Genomic DNA, 25,178 nt, shown 5'->3' with positions numbered 1-25,178 from the left:
TTCAGCCTCCCTGAATAGCTGGAATTACAGGTCTATACTACCATGCCCAACTCAACCTATTTTTTAAAGGGAAGAAACAGATCCACTGAAGAGAAAGGGAAGGAAGAGAAAGGAAAAAATGGACTCGTTAAGTTTCAGTTAAGTAAATAGTAGAAGCCAAAAGGGAAGGGCAAGAGAAGAAATTCTACTTTTTTTTTTTTTTTTTTTTTTTTTGAGTTGGAGTCTCGCTCTGTCGCCCAGGCTGGCGTGCAGTGGCACGATCTCGGCTCACTGCAAGCTCTGCCTCCCGGGTTCACGCCATTCTCCTGCCTCAGCCTCCTGAGTAGCTGGGACTACAGGCGCCCACCACGAGGCCCGGCTAATTGTTTGTATTTTTAGTAGAGACGGGGTTTCACTGTGTTAGCCAGGATGGTCTCGATCTCCTGACCTCGTGATCTGCCCGCCCTGGCCTCCCAAAGTGTTGGGATTACAGGCATGAGCCACGGCACCCGGCGGAATTCTACTTAAACAACAATCTCTTTTCTCTAGAATCAGTTATAGTCCCACTGTAATTCACTAGCAAGTGTACCACTCTGCCAATTATTCTCTTTTCAGAAAAATGCAATTCTTTTTTTTTTTTTTTTTTTGAGACGGAGTCTCGCTCTGTCGCCCAGGCTGGAGTGCAGTGGCGCGATCTCGGCTCACTGCGAGCTCCGCCTCCCGGGTTCACGCCATTCTCCTGCCTCAGCCTCCCGAGTAGCGGGGACTACAGGCGCCCGACACCACGCCCGGCCAATGTTTTGTATTTTTAGTAGAGACGGGGTTTCACCGTGTTAGCCAGGATGGTCTCGATCTCCTGACCTCGTGATCCGCCGGCCTCAGCCTCCCAAAGTGCTGGGATTACAGGCGTGAGCCACCGCGCCCGGCCAGAAAAACGCAATTCTTTTCTGCTTTTCCATATTTCCTATATGATGGAGAAGAGGAAGGAAACAAAGATGGATTTTGTTTTGCTGTTAGACACAAAAGTTTTTTTTTTTTTTTTTTTTGAGACAGAGTCTTACTCTGTCGCCCAGGCTGGAGTGCAGTGGCGCGATCCCGGCTCACTGCAAGCTCCGCCTCCCGGGTTCAAGCGATTCTCCTGCCTCAGCCTCCCAAGTAGCTGGGACTACAGGTGCATGCCACCATGCCCAGCTAATTTTTGTATTTTTAGTAGAGACAGGGTTTCACCATGTTGGCCAGAATGGTCTCGATCTCTTGACCTCGTGATCCGCCCACCTCAGCCTCCCAAAGTGCTGGGATTACAGGCGTGAGCCACCGCGCCCAGCCAGACACAAAGGTTTTTTTAATCTACATTTTAAAAACCTATCTGTGGCCGGACACGGTATCTCACACCTGTAATCCCAGCACTTTGGCAGGCCGAGGCGTGCGGATCACGAGGTAAAGGGTTCAAGACCACGCTGGCCAACATGGTGAAACCCCGTCTCTACTAAAAAATACAAAAATTAGCTGGGCACAGTGGCACGCACCTGTAGTCCCAGCTACTTGGGAGGCTAAAGCAGGAGAATCACTTGAACCCAGGAGGCGGAGGTTGCAATGAGTCAAGATTGCACCACTGCACTCCAGCCGAGGTGACAGAGTGAGACTCCGTACCAAACAAAAACAAAAATAAAAAACAAAACACACAAAAAAACCTATCTGTATCAAAAGATTCATGACCTAATCTGGATTACTAAACACAAAGCCATCAGCAACTTCGAAAAAGAAGTTAGTGTTGGTGTTTCATTGCTTTAAACTTGAGTTTCCTCTTTTGACCAGCCTCCCCACATCTCTCTCCCTACTTGCCTTCAAATAGCAAACTCCTGCCTACTCCTTTCTCTCCAAGAATATGCTGTGGGGAAGAAAAGATGAAGATGCGGGAAGATGGGAGAAAAGAATCCTAACATAAGATATAGAAGATACACAACGGGCTAACATCATAATCCAGCTAGTAATAAAACTCTTGGCCAGGTAAGCTGGTTCACACCTGTAATCCCACCACTTTGGGAGGTGTGTGGCAAGAGGATCACGTGAGCCCAAGAGTGCGAGACCAGCCTGGGCAAGATGGTGGGACCCTATCTCTACAAAAATAAGGAAAAAAGGCTGGGCGCAGTGGCTCAGGCCCGTAATCCCAGCACTTTGGGAGGCCAGGGCGGGCTGATCATCTGGGGTCAGGAGTTTGAGACCAGCCTGGCCAACATGGCGAAACCCTGTCACTACTAAAAATACAAAAATTAGGCAGGTAGGCTGGGCGTAGTGGCTCAGGCCTGTAATCCCAGCACTTTGGGAGACTGAGGCACATGGTCAGGAGTTCGAGACCAGCCTGGACAACATAGTGAAACACTGTCTCTACTAAAAATACAAAAATTAGCCGGGAATGGTGGCAGGCGCCTGTAATCCCAGCTACTCCGAAGGCTGAGGCAGGAGAATCGCTTGAACCGGGGAGTCGGAGGTTGCAGTGAGCTGAGATTGTGCCACTGCACTCCAGCCTGGGTGACAGAGTGAGACTCTGTCTCAAAAATAAAAAAATTGGCCAGGCGCAGTGGCTCACGCCTGTAATCCCAGCACTTGGGGAGGCCAAGGCGGGTGGATCACGCGGTCAGGAGATCGAGACCATCCTGGCTAACATGGTGAAACCCCGTCTCTACTAAAAATACAAAAAATTAGCCGGGCGTGGTGGCGGGTGCCTGTGGTCCCAGCTACTTGGGAGGCTGAGGCAGGAGAATGGGGTGAACCTGGGAGGTGGAGCTTGCAGTGAGCCGAGATCGCGCCACTGCACTCCAGCCTGGGCAACAGAGTGAGACTCCATCTCAAAACAAAATAAAAAATAATAAATAAATAAATAAATAAATAAATAAATAAATAAATAAATAAGGCATGGTGGCAGGCGCCTGCAGTCTCAGCTACTTGGGAGGTTGAGGCAGGAGAATCACTTGAACCTGGGAGGCGGAGGTTGCAGTGAGCCAAGATCGCGCCACTGCACTCCAGCCTGGGTGACAGAACAAGACTCCATCTCAAAAGAAAAATGTACAAAAACCAGTCAGGCATGGTGGTGCATGCATGTAGCCCCAGCTACTCAGGAGGCTGAAGCGGGACGATTGCGTGAGCCCAGGAATTCCAGGCTGCAGTGAACTATGATCACACCACTGCACTCTAGCCTGGGTTTTATTTTATCTCTATAAAAAATAAAACCAGTCCAGCACAGTGGCTCACGTCTGTAATCCCAGCACTTTGGGAGGTCGAGGCAGTGGATCACTTGAGGTCGGGAGTTCAAGACCAGCCTGACTAACATGGAGAAACCCCGTCTCTACTAAAAATACAAAATTAGCCAGGCGTGATTGTGCATGCCTGTAATCCCAGCTACTCAGGAGGCTGAGGCAAGAGAATCGCTTGAACCCAGGAGGCGGAGGTTGCGGTGAGCCAAGATCGCCCCACTGCACCCCAGCCTGTGCAACAAGAGTGAAACTCTCTCTCAAAAAAATAAAAATAAATAATAAATAAAACCAAACAAAAATCCACACTTTACAGATAAAACTTTTAAAAACTAAACTCTCTGGCTTCTGCCTATGGACAAATTTACTAATACATTCTATGATGAGCCAAATTTACAAATAAACTGTATAATAAACCAGTCTATAAACTAAAGCAAAAGCCTCAAACATTTTAGTGGAGAAGAATTATTTTACATTTCTCAAAAGCTTAAAATGCCAGGATGGTTAACAGTTTGTGACATCAAGTGTCTTAGCAACTGACTTTTTGATCTAGCATTAGACCTCAATATACTATTTGAACATCTTATCACTAGAAATATTTTTGAGGGAAATCTAACCCATCTAAAAATTTTTTTCACCTCCTAATGCAACAAAGGAAAGAGATTAACCTAACTAGAACATCCTAGGATATACATTTTCTTTCTTTCTTTTTTTTTTTTGAGATGGAGTTTTGCTCCTGTTGCCCAGGCTGGAGTGCAATGGCGCGATCTCGGCTCACCGCAACTTCCGCCTCCCAGGTTCAAGCAATTCTCCCACCTCAGCCTCCCGAGTAGCTGGGATTACAGGCATGCGCCACCATGCCTGGCTAATTTTTTTTTTGTATTTTTAGTAGAGACGGGGTTTCTCCATGTTGGTAAGGCTGGTCTCCAACTCCTGGCCTCAGGTGATCCGCCCACCTCAGCCTCCTTTGCAAAGTGCTGGGATTACAGGCGAGAGCCACCGCGCCCAGCCCTAGGATATACATTTTCAATGAAGAAGATAGTGCCCCTAAGGGGGCAAAACAATCATATTACAGTTTGTGTTCTGCCAAAGGGCCACAGTATATAAACACTTCTTCTTTCTATGTAAATTTTTGCATCCAGTTTTTCTATAAACCTGTTCCACATGCTCCAGCCATTAATTTCCCCTTTATTTATATCACTTGTCTGTGTTAGATAAGCTATCACATTTCTGTGTAATACAGCTCTAGTATTTTTTTTCTTTTTTCTTTTTTTTGATGGAGTCTCACTCTGCTCTTTTTTTTCTTTTTCTTTTTTTTTTTTTGAGACAGAGTTTCACTCTTGTTGCCCAGGCTGGAGTGCAATGGCATGATCCCCGGCTCACCGCAAGCTCCGCCTCCTGGGTTCAAGCCATTCTCCTGGCTCAGCCTCCCGAGTAGCTGGGATTACAGGCATGTGCCACCACACCCGGCTAATTTTGTATGTATTTTTAGTAGAGATGGGGTTTCTCCATGTTGGTTAGGGTGGTCTCGAACTCCCAACCTCAGGTGATCCACCCGCTTCGGCCTCCCAAAGTGCTGGGATTACAGGTGTGAACCACCGCACCCAGCGAGTCTCACTCTGTTACCCAGGCTGGAGTGCAGTGGCACGATCTCGACTCACTGTAATCTCCACCTCCCAGGTTCAAGTGATTCTCCTGCCTCAGCCTCCCGAGTAGCTGGGATTACAACTGCCCACCACCACACCTGGCTAATTTTTGTATTTTTAGTAGAGACGGGGTTTCGCCATGTTGGCCAGGCTGGTCTCAAACTCCTGACCTCAGGTGATCCGCCCACCATGGCCTCCCAAAGTGCTGGGATTACAGGTGTGAGCCACCGTGCCCGGCCTTTTTTTTTTTTTTTTTTTTTTTTCTTTTTTGAGACAGGGTCTCTCTCTGTCGCCCAGGCTGGAGTGCAGTGGCACAATTCCGGCTCACTGCAGCCTCAACCTTCCAGGCTCAAGCAGTCCTTGCACCTCAGCCCCCAGAGTAGCTGGCACTGAGTAAATGGGACAGGCCTGCATGCCACCTTGCCTGCCAGCTAATTTTTTTTTTGGGGGGGGGGGTGGAATTTTAGTAGAGACGAGGTCTTGCTAGGTTGCCCAGGCTGATCTCGAACTCCTTAGCTCTAGTGATCCTCCTGCCTCGGCCTCCCAAAGTGCTGGGATTACAGACATGTGCCACTGAGCCCGGCCAGTTCTAGTATTTCATTAAGTCCCATCTCCCTGGTTAGATGGTGCACTTCTTTAATATGTATTGTGGTTTTTACTCTCAAAATTCAGAAACTATATAACTCAAGGTCCCTAGTTGCATACAGAAACGAACCCTAGTTGATTCAAGCAAAAGATGAAAGGTTAGTAGTGGGTGACTCACTGAATTCCCAGGAAGTCTGGAGAATCAGGCTCAGAAAACAAGCAAGAACAGGAAGAGGCTATACAGTCATAAACCACTTCTAAAATCATGCCATAGGCTGGGCACAGGGGCGCATGCCTGTAATCCCAACACTTTGGGAGGCTGAGATGAGAGGGTCACTGCAGTCCAGGAGTTAAACACCAGCCTCAGCAACATAGTAAGACCCTGTCTCCACAAACAAATAAAAAAATTAGCCAGGTGTAGTGGCATGTGCCTGTAGTACTAGCTACTCATGAGGCTGAGGCGGGAGGACAGCTTGAGCTGAGGAGTTCAAAGCTACAATGGCACTCTGTGCCACAGAGTGAGACCCTGTCTCTAAAAAATATATATTTAAAAAACATCACTCAGTTAGAAAATGGTGAGTCTTTATTCCAGTGGCCAAAGAAAAAAATTAATGAAAATAATAAAAATGAAAAAAAAAGAAAGTGGGCAAAAGACATCCAGATGATTCACTGAAGAGAATACACAGGTGATAAACAAGCACACGAAAATAACTTGAACACTGTTATCATTAGAGAAATGCAAATTAAAACCACATTGAGGTACCATTACATACCTGCCAGGATAGCTAAAATAAAAAATAGAGATAACAGTAAATATTGGCAAGGATGCAAAGAAACTAGATTTCTCACACATTTGCTGGTGGTAATGTAAAATGGTATAGTCACTCTGAAAACCAGTTTCTTAAAAAACTAAACACAATTACCATATGACCCAGCAACTGCACTCTTGGGCACTTGTCCCAGAGAAATGAAAACTTATGTTCACACACACACAAAAAACTGTATATAAATGTGCATAGCCATTTTTTTTCATAATAGTCCCAAACTAGAAACAGCCCAGCTCACCTCCAACACGTATATGGTAAAACAAACTGTGGTATATCTATACCATGGAATACTACCGTTCAGCAACAAAAAGGAATGAACTATTGATACACGCAACAACCTGGATGAATCTCCAGAAAATTATGCTGATTGAAAAAGCCAATCCCAGAAGGTTACATATGGTACGATTCAATTTATATAACATTTTTGTCCAGGCTCATGACTGTAATCCCAGTGCTATGAGAGGTAGAGGCAGGATAATCATTTGAGGCCAGGAGTTCCAGACCAGCCCGGGCAACATAGCAAGACCTCATATCTACAAAAAATTTTAAAAATTAATCAGGGGTGGTGGCATGCGCCTAGCTACTTGGGAGGTTGAGGCAGGAGGATAGTTTGAGGCTAGGAGTTCAAGGTTACTGTAAACTATGATCACATCACTGCACTCAAGCCTGGGTGACAGAGACCCTGTTTCACTTTACATATTTATATAAATAACAGTTTTTTTTTTTTGGAGACGGAGTTTCACTCTGTCGCCCAAGCTGAAGTGCAGAGTACAATGGCATGATCTCGGCTCACTGCAACCTCTGCCTCCCAGGTTCAAGCAATTCTCCTGACTTAGCCTCCTGAGTAGCTGGGATTACAGGCTCATGCCACCATGCCCGTCTAATTTTTGTATTTTTAGTGGAGATAGGGTTTCACCACGTTGGGCAGACTGGTCTCAATCTCATGACCTCAAGTCATCCACCCACCTTGGCCTCCCAAAGTGCTGGGATTACAGGTGTGAGCCACTGCACCGGGCCTAAATAACAGTTTTTATATAACAAAATTTTTGAAATGGAGAACAGGTTAGTGGTTACAAGAGATTAGGGATGGAGGTGGGAATATACTGTGTTCACATGTGCAGGGAAAGTGGGTATGGTATAAAAAAGTTAACACGGCCAGGCGCGGTGGCTCATGCCTATGATCCCAGCACTTTGGGAGGCCAAGGTGGGCAGATCACCTAAGGTCAGGAGTTCGAGGCCAGCCTGGCCAACACGGTGAAACCCCATCTTTACTAAAAATACAAAAAGTAGCCAGGCATGGTGGCGCATGCCTACAATCCCAGCTACTTGGGAGGCTGAGGCAGGAGAATCGCTTGAACCCGGGAGGCGGAGGTTGCAGCAGTGGGCCCAGATCACACCACTGCACTCCAGCCTGGGCGACAGAGCGAGACTCTATCTTAAAAAAAAAAAATAAATAATGCTGGGTGTGGTGGCTCACGCCTGTAATACCACCACTTTGGGAGGCCGAGGTGGGTGGATCACCTGAGGTCGGGAGTTCAAGACCAGCCTGACCAACATGGAGAAACCCCGTCTCTACTAAAAATATAAAATTAGCCGGGTGTGGCAGTGCATGCCTGTAATCCCAGCTACTCGGGAGGCTGAGGGAGGATAATCGCTTCAACCCGGGAGGCAGAGGTTGCGGTGAGCTGAGGTTGTGCCATTGCACTCCAGCCTGGGCAACAAGAGTGAAACTCCATCTCAAAAAAAAAAAAAAAGGTTAATAACAGTGATTGCTGTGTTGATGGAACTGTTCAAAATCTTGACAGTGGTGTGGAAAGAGAAACCTACACGTGATATAAAATTGTATGGAAATAACGACACATACGCAGACATGAACAAGCAAAACAAGGCAAATCTGAGTAAGATTGATGGACTGTATCAATGCCCATTACCTGGCTGTTACACTAGTTTTGGAAAATGCTGCTATTGGAGGAAATTGGGTAAAATGTACAAGGGATCTCTCTGTATTATTTTATGAAACTACATGTGATTCTAGTTATCTCAATAAAACTGTCAATTGAAAGCAAACAAGAAAAATGGGAAACAAGAAAATAGTTGCAATAAATAGAGTAGACAAAAACCACACTGAAACAATAAAGAATTTTAAAAGACTTAAACCCACAAGGAGGGGGATGAACTAGAGAGGAGACAACAATATTTTGGAACGTGGAAAGCAAATGAAGGAATGATAACTGACTAAGCAAACCTAAGAACGCTATATTGAATAATAAGCATGCAACAGAAAAAACTTTGAACTATACCAATCAACACTACAGAATCTTCCCCTAAAAGCTCAGTAACTGGCAGTACCAGATGATGTGAAATCAATGATTTAGGATGAATAACACTGATTGAAAACTATATAAGAAGCAATTATGGCTGGGCACAGTGGCTCATGCCTGTAATCCCAGTACTTTGGGAGGGCTGAGACGGGCAGATGGCTTGAGCCCATGAGTTCGAGACCAGCCTGGACAACATGATGGAACCCCATCTCTACTAAAAATACAAACATTAGCCAGGCGTGGTGGCAAACACTTGTGGCCCCAGCTACTCAGGAGGCTGAGGCAGGAAGATCGCTTAAACGTGGGAGGTAGAGGTTGCAGTCAGCCAAGATTGCGCCACTGCACTCCAGCCTTGGTGACAGAGCAGACTCTGTCTCAAAAAAAAAAAAGCAGCAATTATTTATTTAATTCCTTTTCTCACTCACATACCACCCCCGACCCAAAAAAACTAGAGAGGCTAGTTTCTCAAATAGAGAAAGCTCAAATAGAGGATCTCTGGACCAGGGTGCTCCAGGAATAGTGGAGGACATGAGTACCGTACCTAAAATAAGGAGATTAAATGTGGATTTAAACATACTGAATGCTGAAGGCTGAAGCCCCAGTCCTCTTTTTCACCTAGCTCAAAGAAATCTTTACTCTCCAGGAGGATTGGAAGGGGCTTGTTATTTTTCTAAGAAATCTGGTAAGCCTATAAGGAAACACCTAACGATCTTGACATCTGGGGTTTCCCAACTTAACAGTCATCTCGCTGTGAAGCTCACCATAAAGATGTCCTGCAAATGCACTCACAGCTTCAAATATAACTTTCAGCGCTCCATCTTAAAGATGTTTAAAACGTGAGCAGACAACCAAGTACTACCAGATATCTGAGGAATGCCTCTAACAAAAAAGACAGAGAACAAAACCAGCATTTCATAAATCAGTCAACTGAGGCTCACATCAGCTAAAAATGAGATTAGTATTTACCATACTGCACATTTCATTCATATGTTTAATAAATATTTATTGGGCCAGGTACTATTATAGGTGCTTGAGAAACAAAGATTCACAAAGCAAAACAAAAGAAAACAAAATCTCTGCCTTGGTAGAGTTTACATTCTAGCAGATAGATAATAAACAATAAGCATAATAAAGTATACACATAGTAAATTAAAAAGATTAGTGCTTCGAGAAAAAATAATGGGATAGGATAAAAGGAGGGTACAGAGGTGGTTGCAAATTTCAAATAGGTTGACATTTGAGTGAAGACTTGAGAGAGATGAGGGAGTTGGCCATGCTACGTACTTCTCTGTGATAAAAGAATTCTAGTAGCCAGAACCTTCGATGTAAGAGACCTAAGGCAAGAGGAGCTGCATTTCAAGGAACAGCAGAATCCAGTAGGGCTGGAGGGGCATGCTAGTAGGGAGAAATAGGAGATAAGGCCATAGAGGTATGGCAGAGAGAAGCACAGATCATGTGGATCATTGACTTTTTCTCTGAATGAAATTAAGAGCCAATGGAGGGTTCTGAGCAAAGAAGTGATAATGAATGGACAAGTTTCAAAGAATCATTTTGGCTGCTGTGCTAAGAACAGACTATATGGAAGCAAGGGACATAGGTTAGAAAGAGAGAGAATGGAATTTCTAAGAATGTTAGAGTTGACAAGGGTGTTGGAAGTAATTTTTTTTCCCAAGTCTTTCATTTTAGAGATGAGGAAACTGAGGCCCACAACATTGCGTTTTCCAAGGTCATGTGTTAAAGTCTGAAATAAGGCTGGGCACAATGGCTCAAATTTCTAATCCCAGCACTTTGGGAGGCTGAGGTGGGAAGTTCTTGAGCTCAGGAGTTCAAGACCCGCCTGGGCAACATAGGGAGACCCCGTCTCCACAAAAAATATAAAAAATTAGCTGGGCATGGTGGCTCACATTTGTAGTCCCAGCTACTTGGTAGGCTGAGGTGGAAGGATCACTTGAACCCAGAAGGCGGAAGTTGCAGTGAGCCATGATTGTCGCCACTGCACTGCAGCCTGGGTGACAGAGCGAGACTGTCCCAAATAATAATAATAATAATGTCTGGAATAATCCACTTTGCATTTGTGTAGCTTTTTCAGTGTTTTTAGGTTTATCATCTCATCTTGTATTCAGCAATCCTCTGGGCAGTTCATAGGGCAGCTGATAACTGACATTAATTTGGCCAAAATAGCTGGCCAAAATTAGGGACCAGGTCTAGAATATCCTCTCAGTACTCAATATAAAGCTATTAACTACATAGGGAGTGAATCTGCCATCTTGCCCATAATATCACAAAGTGCTAAATAACCTAAGTAATTCAAGTAATGGAAATGACTCATTTCTGCTGATCTAATTCCATGGTCCCACAGGAGAGCTATAGGTATTAAATGCAGTACATGTATGTTAAGTGGAATGATATACATTACAAATTAGGAAAAAGAGTAATTCTGAGGCAAATAGGAAAAAGTGATTTTGTTACACATGATATTGTGAGCTCAGGTCTCTTTCCCATCTTCTTTCTTTCCTACCCAAGTCTCATCCTGCAAGGTCTTTCTCAGATTTGAAAGCAGCTGATAAACAACTAATTTCCTTAAGATGGCTGTTGATAATAGCTCAAAGTATTACTTCTCTCTAGGGGTATGTATACTTTAATAGAAAACTCAAAACCTTCAATTCCAAAGGAACTGCAGTCAAGTTAGCAGGGAATATTATACTGAAGACCTCTTGGCAGTTACTCAAATCCCATTAAATAAATTCAAACTCAACAACTGTTTATTGTTATCTACCATACTGTCAGTCACAAAGATAAGACATCGTTCTTGCCCTTAAGATGCTAAGAATGGAAGAAGACCACACAGAAAATACTAGCTTTTGTTTATTGAATCCCTACTAATATTAAGCATTGAGCTAACTACTTTCCATGGGCAATAAGTATCAAGTATTATACTTAGCACAGTGATTAGCAAATAATGTATGTTCAATATATTGTAGCCGTGATAGTATAATTATAACCTTTGTAATTGCATTTAATCTTCACTTCTGCTCTATAAAGTAGTTATCAGTGTTACTTTACAGATAAAAGGAAACTGAGGCCCAGAGGCTAGGTAATATGCTCAAAGTCACACAGCTATTAGGAGCTAGGATTCAGGCCCAGCACGGTGGCTCATGCCTGTAATCCCAGCACTTTGAGAGGCAAGCGGATCACTTGAGGTCAGGAGTTTGAGACCAGCCTGGCCAACATGATGAAACCCCATCTCTACCAAAAAATACAAAAATTAGCCAGGCGTGGTGGCATGGGCCTGTAGTCCCAGCTAGTCGGGAGGCTGAGATGGGAGAATCACTTGACCCTGGGAGGCAGAGGTTGCAGTGAGCCGAGATCACACCACTGCACTCCAGACAGGGTGACAGAGTTTAAAAAAAAACCAAGGCCAGGTGCAGTGGCTCACGCCTTGTAATCCCAGCACTTTGGGAGGCCGAGGTGGGTGGATCACCTGAGGTCGGCAGTTCAAGACCAGCCTGACCAACATGGAAAAACCCCGTCTCTACTAAAAATACAAAATTAGCCAGGCGTGGTGACGCATGCCTGTAATCCCAGCTACGCAGGAGGCTGAGGCAGGAGAATCACTCAAACCCAGGAGGCAGAGGTTGTGGTGAGCCGAGGTTGCACCATTGCACTCCAGCCTGGGTAACAAGAGTGAAACTCCGTCTCAAAAAAGTCTCTGCTCCTCCTGTTCGACAGACAGCCACATATTCTCTCGCATTGGCAGCTGCATCCCTGAGACACCATGGGTAAGGTGAAGGTCAGAGTCAACAGATTTGGTCGTACTGGGTGCCTGGTGCACCATGACTGCTTTTAACTCTGGTAAAGTGGATATTGTTGCCATCAATGACCCCTTCATTGACCTCAACTACATGGTCTACATGTTCCTGTATGATTCTACACATGGCAAATTCCATGGCACCGTCAAGGCTGAGAACGGGACGCTTGTCATCAATGGAAACCCCATCACCCATTTTCCAGGACCAAGATCCCTCCAAAATCAAATGGGGTGATGCTGGCGCTGAGTACGTCGTAGAGTTCACTGGTGTCTTCACCACCATGGAGAAGGCTGGGGCTCACTTGCAGGGGGGAGCCAAAAGGGTCAACATCTCTGTCCTCTCTGTTGATGCCCCCATGTTTGTGATGGGCGTGAACCATGAGAAGTATGACAACAGCCTCAAGATCGTCAGCAATGCCTCCTGCATCACCAACTGCTTAGCGCCCCAGCCAAGGTCATCCATGACAACTTTGGTATCATAGAAGGATTCATGACCACAGTTCACACCATCACTGCCACCCAGACTATAAATGGCCCCTCCGGGAAACTGTCACGTGATGGCTGCAGGGCTCTCCAGGACATCATCCCTGTCTCTACTGGCGCTGCCAAGCCTGTGGGTAAGGTCATCCCTGAGCTGAACGGGAAGCTCACTGGCATGGCCTTCCATGTCCCCACTGCCAATGTGTCAGTGGCGGACCTGACCTGTCGTCTGGAAAAACCTGCCAATATGATGACATCAAGAAGGTGGTGAAGTAGGCATCGGAGGGCCCCCTCAAGAGCATCCTGGGCTACAATGAGCACCAGATGGTCTCCTTCGACTTCAACAGCAACACCCACTCTTCTACCTTCGATGCTGGGGCAGCCATTGTCCTCAAGGACCACTCTGTCAAGCTAATTTCCTGGTATGACAATGAATTTGGCTACAGCAACAGGGTGGTGCACCTCATGGCCCACAATGCCTCCAAGGAGTAAGACCCCTGGACCACCAGCCCAGCGACAGCATGAGAGGAAGACAGAAGCTCTTACTGCTGGGGAGTCCCTGCCATAATCAGTCCCCCACCAAGCTGAATCTCCCCTCCTCACAGTTTCCATGCAGACCCCTTGGAGAGGGAGGGGCCTAGGGTGCCCCACCTTGTCATGTACCATCAATAAAGTGCCTTGTGCTCAGCCAAAAAAACAAAAAACAAACAAACAAGAAATTAAACAATAAAAAAACCCACAAAAAATTAAAAATAATAATAATAATAATAATAATAAATTTTTTTAAAACCCCCACCAATAAAAAAGAGCCAGGATTCTGGATCAAGAGGTCAGGAGTTCGAGACCAGCCTGGCTAATATGGTGAAACCCCATCTCTACTAAAAAATTCAAAAATTAGCTGGGCGTGGTGGCACGCACCTGTAGTCCCACCTACTCAGGAGGCTGAGGCAGCAGAATCGCTTGAACCCAGGAGGTGGAGGTTGCAGTGAGCCGAGATCGCGTCACTGCACTCCAGCCTGGGCAACAGAGCGAGACTCCAACTCAAAAAAAAAAAGGAGCCAGGATTCAAACTCAAGCCTGCATAATTCTATAATTTGTGCTATTAACCCCTATATAATATTCAATATTTCTATAAAATTAATAGGTGTTTAACTTCATTCGGAAGTCTGAGCAACTGGCTAACAAGAATATGCTGTAAAGAGAAAGTGATATTTAAGTTGGATCCTGAATGACAAGTGGGAAAGAAAGGGGGTAAGAGTAGAGTTTGGTCCAGGTTAAAAATGATGAGGGTCTGAACAAAGGAAGTGGCAACAAGTATAAAGAGGGGAAGTTACAAGAGATAAGCAGGAGATAGTCTCTTAAAGAACCTTTGTGATGTACCAGATGTGAGCAGTGAGGGAAAGGCATCAAAGATGACTCACAAGTTTCTAGTTTGGGTGACTGGGCAGAAGTATTCCCAGTACTAACACTGAGAAAGTACTGGAGAAAGGAATGGAGAGAGGTGGACTTTAGGGACAAATTATGATTTTTCTTTGAACTTTGTGAATTTGAAGTACATTTGGGACAACTAAGCAAGGAAATCTGTTAGGCAACTGGAAATCATGGTCAAATTTAGTAAAGATGTCAGGGCAGGGAATGGATATTTGGGAGTCACTGCTATAACTACAGTACTTTGAAATAATAATTGTGTAAGAGACTGACACATAGGTAGCACTCATGCCATCTTATGTGTAAGGCTGGTCTTAACACTGAGAATATACTGAACTCTGAAAATAAGCAGGGCCGTAACATGTCCCCACAAATCAAATATGCCCATCACCTCCATCTTTACAGAAGAAAAAAAAAAAAAAGACGTTGGAAATGGAGTGTAGCTGATATCTGACGACAACGACTCAGATAGCCGTTAGTCTTTTAACCCTGCATCCTCAAAATACCTGGCAAACTAGATGATCAATAAATATGTGATGAACAGAAAGCATGAATGAAGGAAGCCCAAAGAATTAAACAGAATTTCCAATGTTATTCAGCTTAAGTAGGGGAATGGACACTAGAAGCTAGGTGCTCTCAATCTTGTGTGCTTTACATTCCAGAGGTTTCTCCAGCCTCCTTCCTCACCTGTTCCTCAAGAATTATCTTGTTCTGAAAAATATCAACATAATTTAAAATCTCTAACTACAGTATAAATGTTCCCTTCAAAATCTCATATTGGGCTGGGTACGGTGCTTTATGCCTGTAATCCCAGCACTTTGGGATTGCCGAGGTGGGATGATCATTTGAGCCCAAGAGTTTGAGACTAGACTGGGCAGCCTGGGCAACATAGTGAAACCCTGTGTCTACAAAAAACAACAACAAAAATAGCCACATGTGGTGGCATGTGTCTGTAGTCCCAGCTACTTGCAAGGCTGAGGCAGGAGGATTGCTTGAGCCTGGGAGGTCAAGGATGCAGTGGGCTGTGATTATGCCATTGCAGTAAGCTGTGATTGTGCCACTGCACTCCAGCCTGGGTGACAGGGCAAGACCCCATCTCTAAGAAAAAAAAAAATCCCATATTCATAGAAGTCATCTATAAAAAAGTCCACAGTTAATTAACATCATATTTAATAATTAAGACTGAAAGTTACTCCCTAAAATCAGTGAAGAAGTTAAGGATGTCTGTTCTTGCCACTTCTATTCAACATTGTACTGGAGGTTATAGCTAGAAAAATTAGACAAGAAATAAAGAAAAAAGACATCGAGGTTGTAAGTAAGAAGTAAAAGGATCTCAATTTGCAGATAACATGATCTCATATATAGAAAATCCTAAGGAATGCACAAAAATCATATCAGAGCCAACAAACGAATTCCACAAGGTGGTGAGATACAAGATCAGTACATATAAAACAATAGTATTTCTGTACTCTAGCAATGAATAATCCAAATATGAAATCAAGAAAACAATTCCATTTAAAATAACATCTAAAAGAATAAAATCCTCAGGAATAAATTTAACAAAAGAAGTGCAAGATTTTGGTGTACAACCCCTAAATTTGACTGGCTTAAAAAAAAAAAAAAAAAGAAAAGAAAAAACAGGGCTGAGCGTGGTAGCTCATGCTTGTAATCCCGGCACTTTGGGAGGCCTAGGCAGGCAGATCACTCGAGGCCAGGAGTTGGAAACCAGCCTGGCCAACATGGTGAAACCCGAGCTCTACTAAAAATACAAAAAATTAGCTGGGCTTAGTGGCGTGCACCTGTAGTCCCAGTTATTTGGGAGGCTGAAACAGGAGAATCGCTTGAAACTGGTGGGTGGAGGTTGCAGTGATCCAAGCCAAGACTGTGCCACTGTACCCCTGCCTGGTGGACAGAGTGAGACTCTGTCTCAAAAAAAAAAAAGAAAAAGGGCAAGATTTGTACACTAAAACCACAAAACATCATTGATGGAAATTAAAGAAGTTATAAATAAATGGAAAGACATCTCATGTTCATGGATTGGAAGATTTTTTATTGTTAAGATTGCAGAACTCTCCAAACTGACTGACAGATTCAATACAATCTCCATCAAAATCCTAGCCTGCTTCTTGCAGAAATTGACAAGCTGATCCTAAAATTTGTATGGAAATGCAAAGGACTCAGAATAGCCAAAACGATCTCAAAAAGAAGAATAAAGTTGAAAGACTCACAATTCTCAACACTTACTACAAAGATGAGTAATCAAGATTGTAATACTGCCATAAGGATAGATATGTTGATCAACGGAACAAAACTGAGAGTCTAGATAAAAACCCATACATTTATGGTCAATTAATTTTCAACAAGGGTGTCAAGAAAATTCAATGTGGGGTAAGAATAGTCTTTTCAACGATTGGTGCTAGGAAAACCGCATATGTACATGTAAAAGACTAAAGCTGGATCCCTACTTCACACCATATAGAAAAATTAACTCAAAATGGATCAAATACCTAAATGTAAGAGCTATAACCATAAAAATCTTAGAAAACACTAGTATCCAGAATATATTCTTACAAAGAACCTAATTAAAATATTGACAAAGAATCAGATATCTTCAAAGAAGATATACAAGCACATAAGCACATGAAAAGATGTTCTGAATCATTAGTCATTAAAGAAATCCAAGTCAAAACCACAAGATACCACTTTACACCCACCAGGATGGCTATTATTAAACAAATGAACAATAACAAGTATTGTTGAAAGTGTGGGGAAATTGGAATCCTTGTACACTGCTAGCGGGAATGTAAAATGGCACAGCCATTTACATTCTGGCAAACAGTTTGCCAGCTCCAAACAAAGTTAAACAAAGAGTTACCACATAATCCAGCAATTCTATCCCTAGGTATATAATAAAAAAAACTGAAGACATATGTCCATACAAAAACTTGTATATGAATGTTCATAGCAGCATTATCCATTAACAGTCAAAATAAGGAAAAAACCCAAATATCCCTCACCTGATGAAATGGATAAACAAATGTGGTATATTTATATAATGGAATATTATTCAACCATAAAAAGGAATGGAGTACTGATACATGCTACAATAGATTATGCTAAGTGAAAGGAGTCAGACACAAAAGGCCCCCCCCTTTTTTTTTTTTTTTGAGATGGAGTCTTGCTCTGTCTCCCAGACTGGAGTGCAATGACGCAATCTTGCCTCATTGCAACCTCCACCTCCCGGGTTCAAGCAATTCTCCTGCCTCAGCCTCCCAAGTAGCTGGGACTACAGGCATGTGCCACCACGCCCAGCTAATTTTTGTATTTTTAGTAGAGACAGGGTTTCACCATGTTGGTCAGGCTGGTATCGAACTCCTGACCTTGTGATCTGCCTGCCTTGGCCTCCCAAAGTGCTGGGATTACAGGCGTGAGCCACTGCGCCCGGCCAAAGGCCACAGATTGTATGATTCCATTTACATGAAATTTCTAGAGAGACAGAAGTAGACTGCCCGGGGCTAAGTAAAATGAAGAATTAGGGTGACTGCTGATGGGTACAGGGTTTCTTTTTGAGGAGATGAAAATATTCTGGAATTAGTGATGTGATGGGTACACAGTTTGTGAATATAGTATAAACCACTGAATTGTATACTGAAAAAAAAAAAGAAAACATGAATTATTTCTCAATTTTTAAAAAAACTGTATGAGGAAAAAAAAAAAACCCGTATAACCTGTCTAGCTAACCTCTTCCAAAAAATTTTCCAGTTATCAGTTGTTAAATGGTTTCTGGAAACATTACTTTTTTTTAAATAATAACCAGGAAAAGGCAGGAACATTAAAGCCATTTGATAAACATGCAAAAAGTTGAAATTCTACCCAGAGCTTAGGCCATCAGCCATCATTTCTCAATCTTCCATTCACATGAAATTTAAGTTTATAACATAGAAGATTTTCTTTTCTTTTTTTTTTTTGAGATGGAGTCTTGCTCTGTTGCCCAGGCTGGAGTGCAGTGGCGTGATCTCTGCTCACTTCAATCTCTGCCTCCCAGGTTCAAGCGATCCTCCCACCTCAGCTTCCCAAGTAGCTGGGATTACAAGTGTGCATCACCACATCTGGCTAATTTTTGTATTTTTAGAGACAGGGTTTCACGATGTTGGCCAGGCTGGTGTCGAACTCCTGATCCTCCCGCCTCAGCCTCCCGAAGTGCTGGGATTACAGATTTGAGCCACTGTGCCCGGCCTATAATATAGCAGATTTTCAAAGATTTTCCTAGATTTCCTGAAATTCTTATGTCAGGCTCTTGGTAAAAGCCTACTATTAGGCAGTCAATCCTGGTCTGATTTCTTCAAACCAAAGTGCTGACAACAGTTCCAAAGAGTAGTCTCAGAGCTGCTAGCATAATTACTTTAATTGGAAGCTGTTTCTCTCCAGTTATGCAAGGGAGTCCATATTACATGAAAATAAAATCTATAATAATTCATCATAGTATAGGATGTATACTTTTGGAGAATATAAATTAAAATATACCCTGCTAACATCTCTCCCCATTTCTGTCCTGTCAAAAGATCATTAAGGGTATGGTATGTTAAGGAAGATCTCTTTTGGAAATGCTTATACCTGATATTATAAATGTCAAAGAGTACTCTTAGACAATAGGCTGCAAGTACTGTATTCCTGCCTCATTTTAACATTTAAAAGGAACAATAAATAAATCCAAAATACTTTTCTCTATTGCACCAAAATTTCCTTTTTTTTTTTTTTTAACCACAATGTATTAAAAGTTAAATCTAAACATCTATGTAAACATCGAATAGACAAAAGGTCTAGACTGGTCAACATAGAAATCCATATAGAAAATTACACAGAAAAAAGATGGGTTTCTTTTTGTGCAACTTCCTTAACTAAAATGCTACTCCAGCAAGGAAAAGAAAACATGAAAGACAGCCCTTTTCTTTTTATACAACTAGAAATCTCATAAGCTTATGTCTTGAGCAAGCTCATCAACGAAAGCAAATTATGTTAACTGACATCACAGACACCTCTTTCCAAAGAGAAGAAAGCAGGTCAACATTAAGTCTTTAAAAATTGCAAAACTACTCTCTCCCTACATACTCACCACCATCAGTTTAAAAAAAACAAACACCCAGACTTCTGAAGACAATCACAAATGAAGATAAAAAATTGGTTTGAGATAAGTTATAAAAAGCTAAACAAAGAAGATGAGTTTCATACTCCAGGGTGAGATCACATCAATTGTAATAAAATCTAGCCAAGCAGGGCCAAACCAGTTCAGATCTCTAATGGGAAAATTAAAGATGCTTAAAGGGACAGAGTTGAGATTCATGAGGTATAGATCATGCCCAAGCCAGTCCTGAACCAATAATCTCAGCCAGTTCCACAACATTAAAGAAATTCTTCTCTTAAGAATCTGGTAGAATGAAGTACAATTTTTATGTTCTTCCTTTTACTTTTCTGAATTTTCCAAATTCTTTACAATAAAGCACTTATAGATTTCAATGCCAGAATGCTGAAACCTCGTTAGTAGAAAATAATCTCAAAGAAACAGAAAACCGAGTGGACAGGTTGCTGTAAACTCACAAGGTCAAGGCATTCTCACTTGCCAAGTACAGAGTTTGCCCCGGGGGCATTAGAGATAACAATGCTTGTGCTTTGCCCAATCTTCTCTCTGACATAATAGGCTTTTGTCTCGAGTCACCAGATGCCTCAGCATTAGTTGGCCAAGTGCTAGGGCCCCAGAGCCTAGATAACACAGCTGGAGCTTGGTACTCCTATACAGGGATTAAGAAACAATCTCCAGCCCACAACTCTATTAAGCAAACTTTGACAGCTGCCAGGGCCAGTAAAGAATAATGAAGGGACAGGGATCCAGTGGCACAGCTGCACCTCTTTCCCACACCAATATTCCTCTTCCTTTTTTCCTCAGAAGGCTCACTCTGCTGCCAACTCCAGGTCTTACTGGTCTCCTTAGCCACTATGGCTGTCCATTTTAAAAAACCACACTGGCAATGATGGGCTTTTAGTAAAACTCAAACACTTCAAAATAAATTGAAGGTTCCCTGCTTAGGGTATTTTCATAAAGGTTATGAGCCTTGATTCTACCTAAATTCCTCCTGACTGTCGTCTTGGCAGCAGAATATTAATAGGCTGTCCTAAGAGAGTTATAAAACAATCAGTATCCAATCATTTCCTGTACCTTGAAATGTTAACACTAAGGGAAGGACAGGGAGGAAAAAATAAAACAAGGAAAGGAAAAAAAATCCTCCTCTCAGGGAAATGCCTACACCCCAGAGACCAGGTCCAAGCTCCCTCCCTACTCCATATCCAGCCACACAAAAGCCAAAGCCAAGAACAATCCTCCACTTACAGAGGCTTCCACAAATTTCTCTCCTCAGCCAACTCTGGAGCCAGGATGAGAGACTTTGTTGGCACATGCCAGCTCTTGTTTATGAGCTGGTTACCACCTCAAAGGCTGCTTGGCCCAAGGTCTGCCTTCCCTTTACAGGATCTTTCAAACTTCAAAATGGGATCTTATCTTGGACTCCTCTTAAGACATGGACGTGGGTTACTTAACCTATTGCTTCCAGCTTGAGTGCTATCCAAGGATTTCTCTGGGGACTACATTCTCAGGGGGTAGTCAACATTATCTAATATGGAAGGACTTTCTACCCACCTGTACAAAGTAAAGAAGAACGGAAAGATTTTAAATTAAAAGTAAAAGCGAACACTTTCAGAAATAACTTCAGTGGCCATCAGGTAAAGGTAACAGCTGAAGTGACGAAAATCAGGTGAGCCTCTCCTTTGCTGTCAGTGTAGCAGAGAAGGTGGGAAGAAAGATAATAAAATAATCTCTTCGGCTGATAATTTAATTCTGTCCCGTACTCAGAGCTTATTTCTGAAATCTTGTAATAGAAATTTCCCTAGGTTGAATTCCATATCCTAACAGCTAGGAATTGAAGAGACATTTGGAAGTCAGTTTCTCGGTTACTTTTTGTTGTCTTCCCATTCTATTGTGAACCCTTTTCTCCCTTAATTTCACCTCACCTTTTAGAGATTTGGGGAGAATACCAGAACGTGTGGGAAAAAAAATATTAGCCAAAAATTTAAGAAAACGAGAATAAAAAAACAAAAAGAAAAATAGAGATTTGGGGATAATAAAAACTGAGACACAGGTTAGGGAGCCTGGCTCTCTAACTGCCTTTGGTTTTCTACTTTCTACGGAAACAACATTCACAACAGAAAACTACATATATCATATATGTACAACTCTGCATTTTCATAAACTGAACACACAGTTATGTAAATAGCATCCACAACAATATTTTAGCAAATAGTGCTCAAATAAAAACTTTGCCCTCCAGGGGATATTTGGCAGTGTCTGGGGACATTTTTGGTTGTCTTACCTTGGAGCGAATATGATAAAGGTATGGATGCTGTGAAACATCCTACAATAAACTGGACCACCCCAACAACAAAGAATTACCCTAGCCCCAAATACCAATAGTGTTGTTGTTGAAAAATCCTGGTTATAGCAACCCAGAAACCTTCCTGTACTGCTTCTCCAGAAAGGACTTTTACCACAAAAATGCAAGACTCCTTATGCTCTGGTAGAAAAGCTGCTGTAACATACTGCCATGAGGAGGTGGTACAGAGCATAAATGATCACAGATGAAACTACTCACCTGCCTGGAAAGACAAGAGAGGCTGCAAGGAGAAAGGAAAATAGAACAAACATTTGTTGCTGACCTGTAACTATTATACTATAACCTCCATATACTGTGCATTTACAGTGTACTTTTAGATCTTTTAAATTAAAACCATATAAAATCTAAGGAAAATGAGATACGGAGAGGTAATTTGCAGAAGATCCTATATATATTAAATGGCAGTCAGTGCTGGGATTCAAACATAGGCCTGATTACAATATCTATGCTTTCACTTTAATACTATTAGAAGTTGAGAGTTTAAATAACTGAAAATTAGGTCAAAAAAGAAAAAAGGAAAACTAAAAAAGTTGAGAGTGATGATGCCAGGCAGGGAAAATATGGCAAATGGTTAAAATAAAAAGCAAAGATCACTCTTCCATTGTTCATAAGTGGCATGAGAAACGAACTTTTCCTCAAAGTGTGCCTCAATCCAATAAAACCAATTCTAACTACAGAACCAAGCAAGTTCTATAACCTCTTTCAGTGGATTTTAAAATGTTTGTATAGACATATGTTCCCAGCTGTGGGTTTTGTATTCTCTCTAGGACACAAGGAAGCAGTTCCCAATATGCCAACTAAGGTAGCTACCTTCTTGGTGTTCCTCAGTGACCCATACTGAGCCCCTTTCATTCAATACAGACACATTCTTCCTGGGTAAGTGCACTCACTTCTATGGCATCAATTACCATTTATGTGTTCACATTAATAAACTCTTAAATCTTTAGATTTCCAGTTCTCTCTCTCACACATCCAGTCCTCAAGAGACATTTCTACTTGGTTGTTCATTCATTCAACTCCCTCTTCCAAATTAACTACCATTTATCCTTCAGATATTTACTCAAACTTCTTCACGGATATTTTCCCTGACCCGCCCCCGCCCCCCGCCCCCCGCCCTGCACCCGCCAAGAATGGTTCAGTTCCTAATTATAGGCTCTCAGCATCCTATAACTTTCACTTTTATAATTTTAATAGTGTAAAATGATAGATGTGCATATGATTGTTTGATTCCATTCTATCTCCCCTACTAAACCGTATGCCCTAGAAAGAGCAGGACCAAATCTATTTTGCTTACATTATCCCCAGCACAGGCAGTGCAAGCACCTCAAAACATGTCCCAAGTTAAACTCATTATCATTCCCTGCAAACTTGCCCCTTTTCAGTGTTCCCTCCTATGAGTAAGTGGTTCCATGAACAGCTTGGTTCATGCCCAAAATCTGGACATGACTCTCGACTTCTTCTTCAATCTCTTCCCAACATGGTATCAATTACCAAGATGCTATCAATTGAACTTCTATTCTCTCAAATCTACCCACTTTGCTCCTTTCCTATTAATACTATTCTGGTCCAGCTGTCTTGCTAACTATGCTAACAGCTTCCTAAATGCCTCCAATCTTGTTCTCCAATCCACTCTGCAGATGACATCAAGAGTAATTCTTCAAAAACTCAAAAATCAATCACTGTAATCCACTAAAAAGTCTAACAATAGTTTTCTGCAGATGTTAGGATGAAATCCAAATCCTTTAACAAGGCTTTTAAGGCCTTCTACTATCTGACCCCATAGCACTCCAGCCTCATCTTACCATTCTATTCCTCCTCCTCCAGTCATAGTGAACTTCTTCCAGTTCTTCTCATGCCTCAAGATTAGTCTTACCACTTAGCCTTTGATTATGCTATTCTCTCACCTGGCACAAGCCTTTTGCCCTCTCTCCCATCACCTGTCTAATTCCTGCTTATCCCTTTGGGTCTCTGTTTAACTATCAGAGAGGTTAGAGATCTCCATCACCTCTTTTGAGCAGAGATCTTCCTTGATCCTACACTATACTCTGGCCACCACTGTGCACCCACAATACCCTATGTTATCATTACTCATCAAAGTTTGTTATAATAACCAATTTATCTGTCTCCCACATTAGAATATAAACTCCAGGAACCCAGCACGATGGCTCACGCTTGTAATCCCAGCACTTTGGGAGGCCATGGCGGGTGGATCACTTGAGCCCAGGGGTTCAACGTGGTGAGCCTGGGCAACATGGTGAAACCCTGTCTCGACAAAAAATCCAAAATTGGTCAGGTGTGGTGGCACGCACCTGTAGTCCTAGATACTTGGGAGGCTGAGTTGGGAGGATCACTTGAGCCCAGGAGGCAGAGGTTATAGTGGGCCAAGATTGTGCCACTGTACTCCAGCCTGGGTGACAGAGTGTCTAAAAATAATAATAATAATATATATGTATAATTTTTATTTATATATCATATATATACACACACTCCACAGAGCAGAGACCACATCCATTTAACTTTTATTTTTTTAGATGGGATCTTGCTATGTTGTCCCAGCTGGACTTGAACTCCTGGGCTCACAGGAACTTCCCACCTCAGCCTTCCAAGTAGCTGGGACTACAGGTGTGAGCCACCATGCCTGGCTTCAACTCTTTATCCTAAGTGCCAGCACACTGTATAGCACATGGTAGTTATTTAATAATTATTTGTTGGATGAACTGAATGAGTATCCATAAATTTGAACTGCTTGACTAGGATAGCCCTCCAACCTGTAAGTCCAGAAAAACATTAATTTTGTTATAAAGCATCCCATATAGGATCTGTTGAATCACAGGGAATTTTGTTTTGTTTTGTTTGAGACAGAATCCCCCTCTGTCACCTAGGCTGGAATGCAGTGGCATGATCTCGGCTCACTGCAGCCTCCACTTCCCGGGTTCAAGTGATTCTCCTGCCTCAGCTTCCTGAGAAGCTTGGACTACAGGCATGCACCACTACACCCAGCTAATTTTTGTATTTTTTAGTAGACATGGAGTTTCACCATGTTGACCAGGCTGGTCTTGAACTCCTGACCTCAGGTGATCCACGTGCTTTGGCCTCCCAAAGTGCTGGGTTTATAGGAGTGAGCCAGCGTACCCAGCCCAGAGGTAATTTTAAAATCAGCTAATGCTATATTTTTAAAGCAAGAAGCTTAAAACTCGCAATTAAATAAGGAAGAGCCAGACAAACATTATCAAGTAAAAAGTTTCCGGAGTAGGGGTTAAGGAGAGAAGAAATTGATATAGTATAAGGGACTGCTGGAACCTGGTGAAAATTTTTAAAATCAGAATCATCCTGAGAGTTGATAAGCTAAGACTGGAC

At 42.6% G+C, this 25,178-nt stretch overlaps 1 protein-coding gene and 1 pseudogene across 5 annotated transcripts in view, besides 3 other annotated features; one reads left to right on the top strand and one right to left on the bottom strand.

Moving 5' to 3' along the window:
- The window catches only part of ZNF609 (zinc finger protein 609), a 226,491-nt gene that overhangs the window by 144,016 nt on the left and 57,297 nt on the right, over window positions 1–25,178 (bottom strand). The window lies entirely within an intron of this gene.
- Window positions 1,751–2,251: an enhancer, noted in NCBI's record as "H3K27ac hESC enhancer chr15:64832001-64832501 (GRCh37/hg19 assembly coordinates)". NCBI's record gives its function as "activates a minimal SCP1, AML or CMV promoter by ChIP-STARR-seq in naive H9 embryonic stem cells {active_cell/tissue: H9 hESC(naive)}" and the evidence as "EXISTENCE:reporter gene assay evidence [ECO:0000049][PMID:30033119]".
- Window positions 2,252–2,752: an enhancer, noted in NCBI's record as "H3K27ac hESC enhancer chr15:64831500-64832000 (GRCh37/hg19 assembly coordinates)". NCBI's record gives its function as "activates a minimal SCP1, AML or CMV promoter by ChIP-STARR-seq in naive H9 embryonic stem cells {active_cell/tissue: H9 hESC(naive)}" and the evidence as "EXISTENCE:reporter gene assay evidence [ECO:0000049][PMID:30033119]".
- On the top strand, window positions 12,313–13,585 carry GAPDHP61 (glyceraldehyde 3 phosphate dehydrogenase pseudogene 61; annotated as a pseudogene).
- Window positions 12,500–13,366: an enhancer, noted in NCBI's record as "H3K27ac-H3K4me1 hESC enhancer chr15:64820886-64821752 (GRCh37/hg19 assembly coordinates)". NCBI's record gives its function as "activates a minimal SCP1, AML or CMV promoter by ChIP-STARR-seq in naive H9 embryonic stem cells {active_cell/tissue: H9 hESC(naive)}" and the evidence as "EXISTENCE:reporter gene assay evidence [ECO:0000049][PMID:30033119]".

The sequence above is a fragment of the Homo sapiens genome, chromosome 15 (genome assembly GCF_000001405.40).
Source record: "Homo sapiens chromosome 15, GRCh38.p14 Primary Assembly".
NCBI lineage: Eukaryota > Metazoa > Chordata > Mammalia > Primates > Hominidae > Homo > Homo sapiens.
This window is presented reverse-complemented; position numbering and strand designations above follow the sequence as displayed.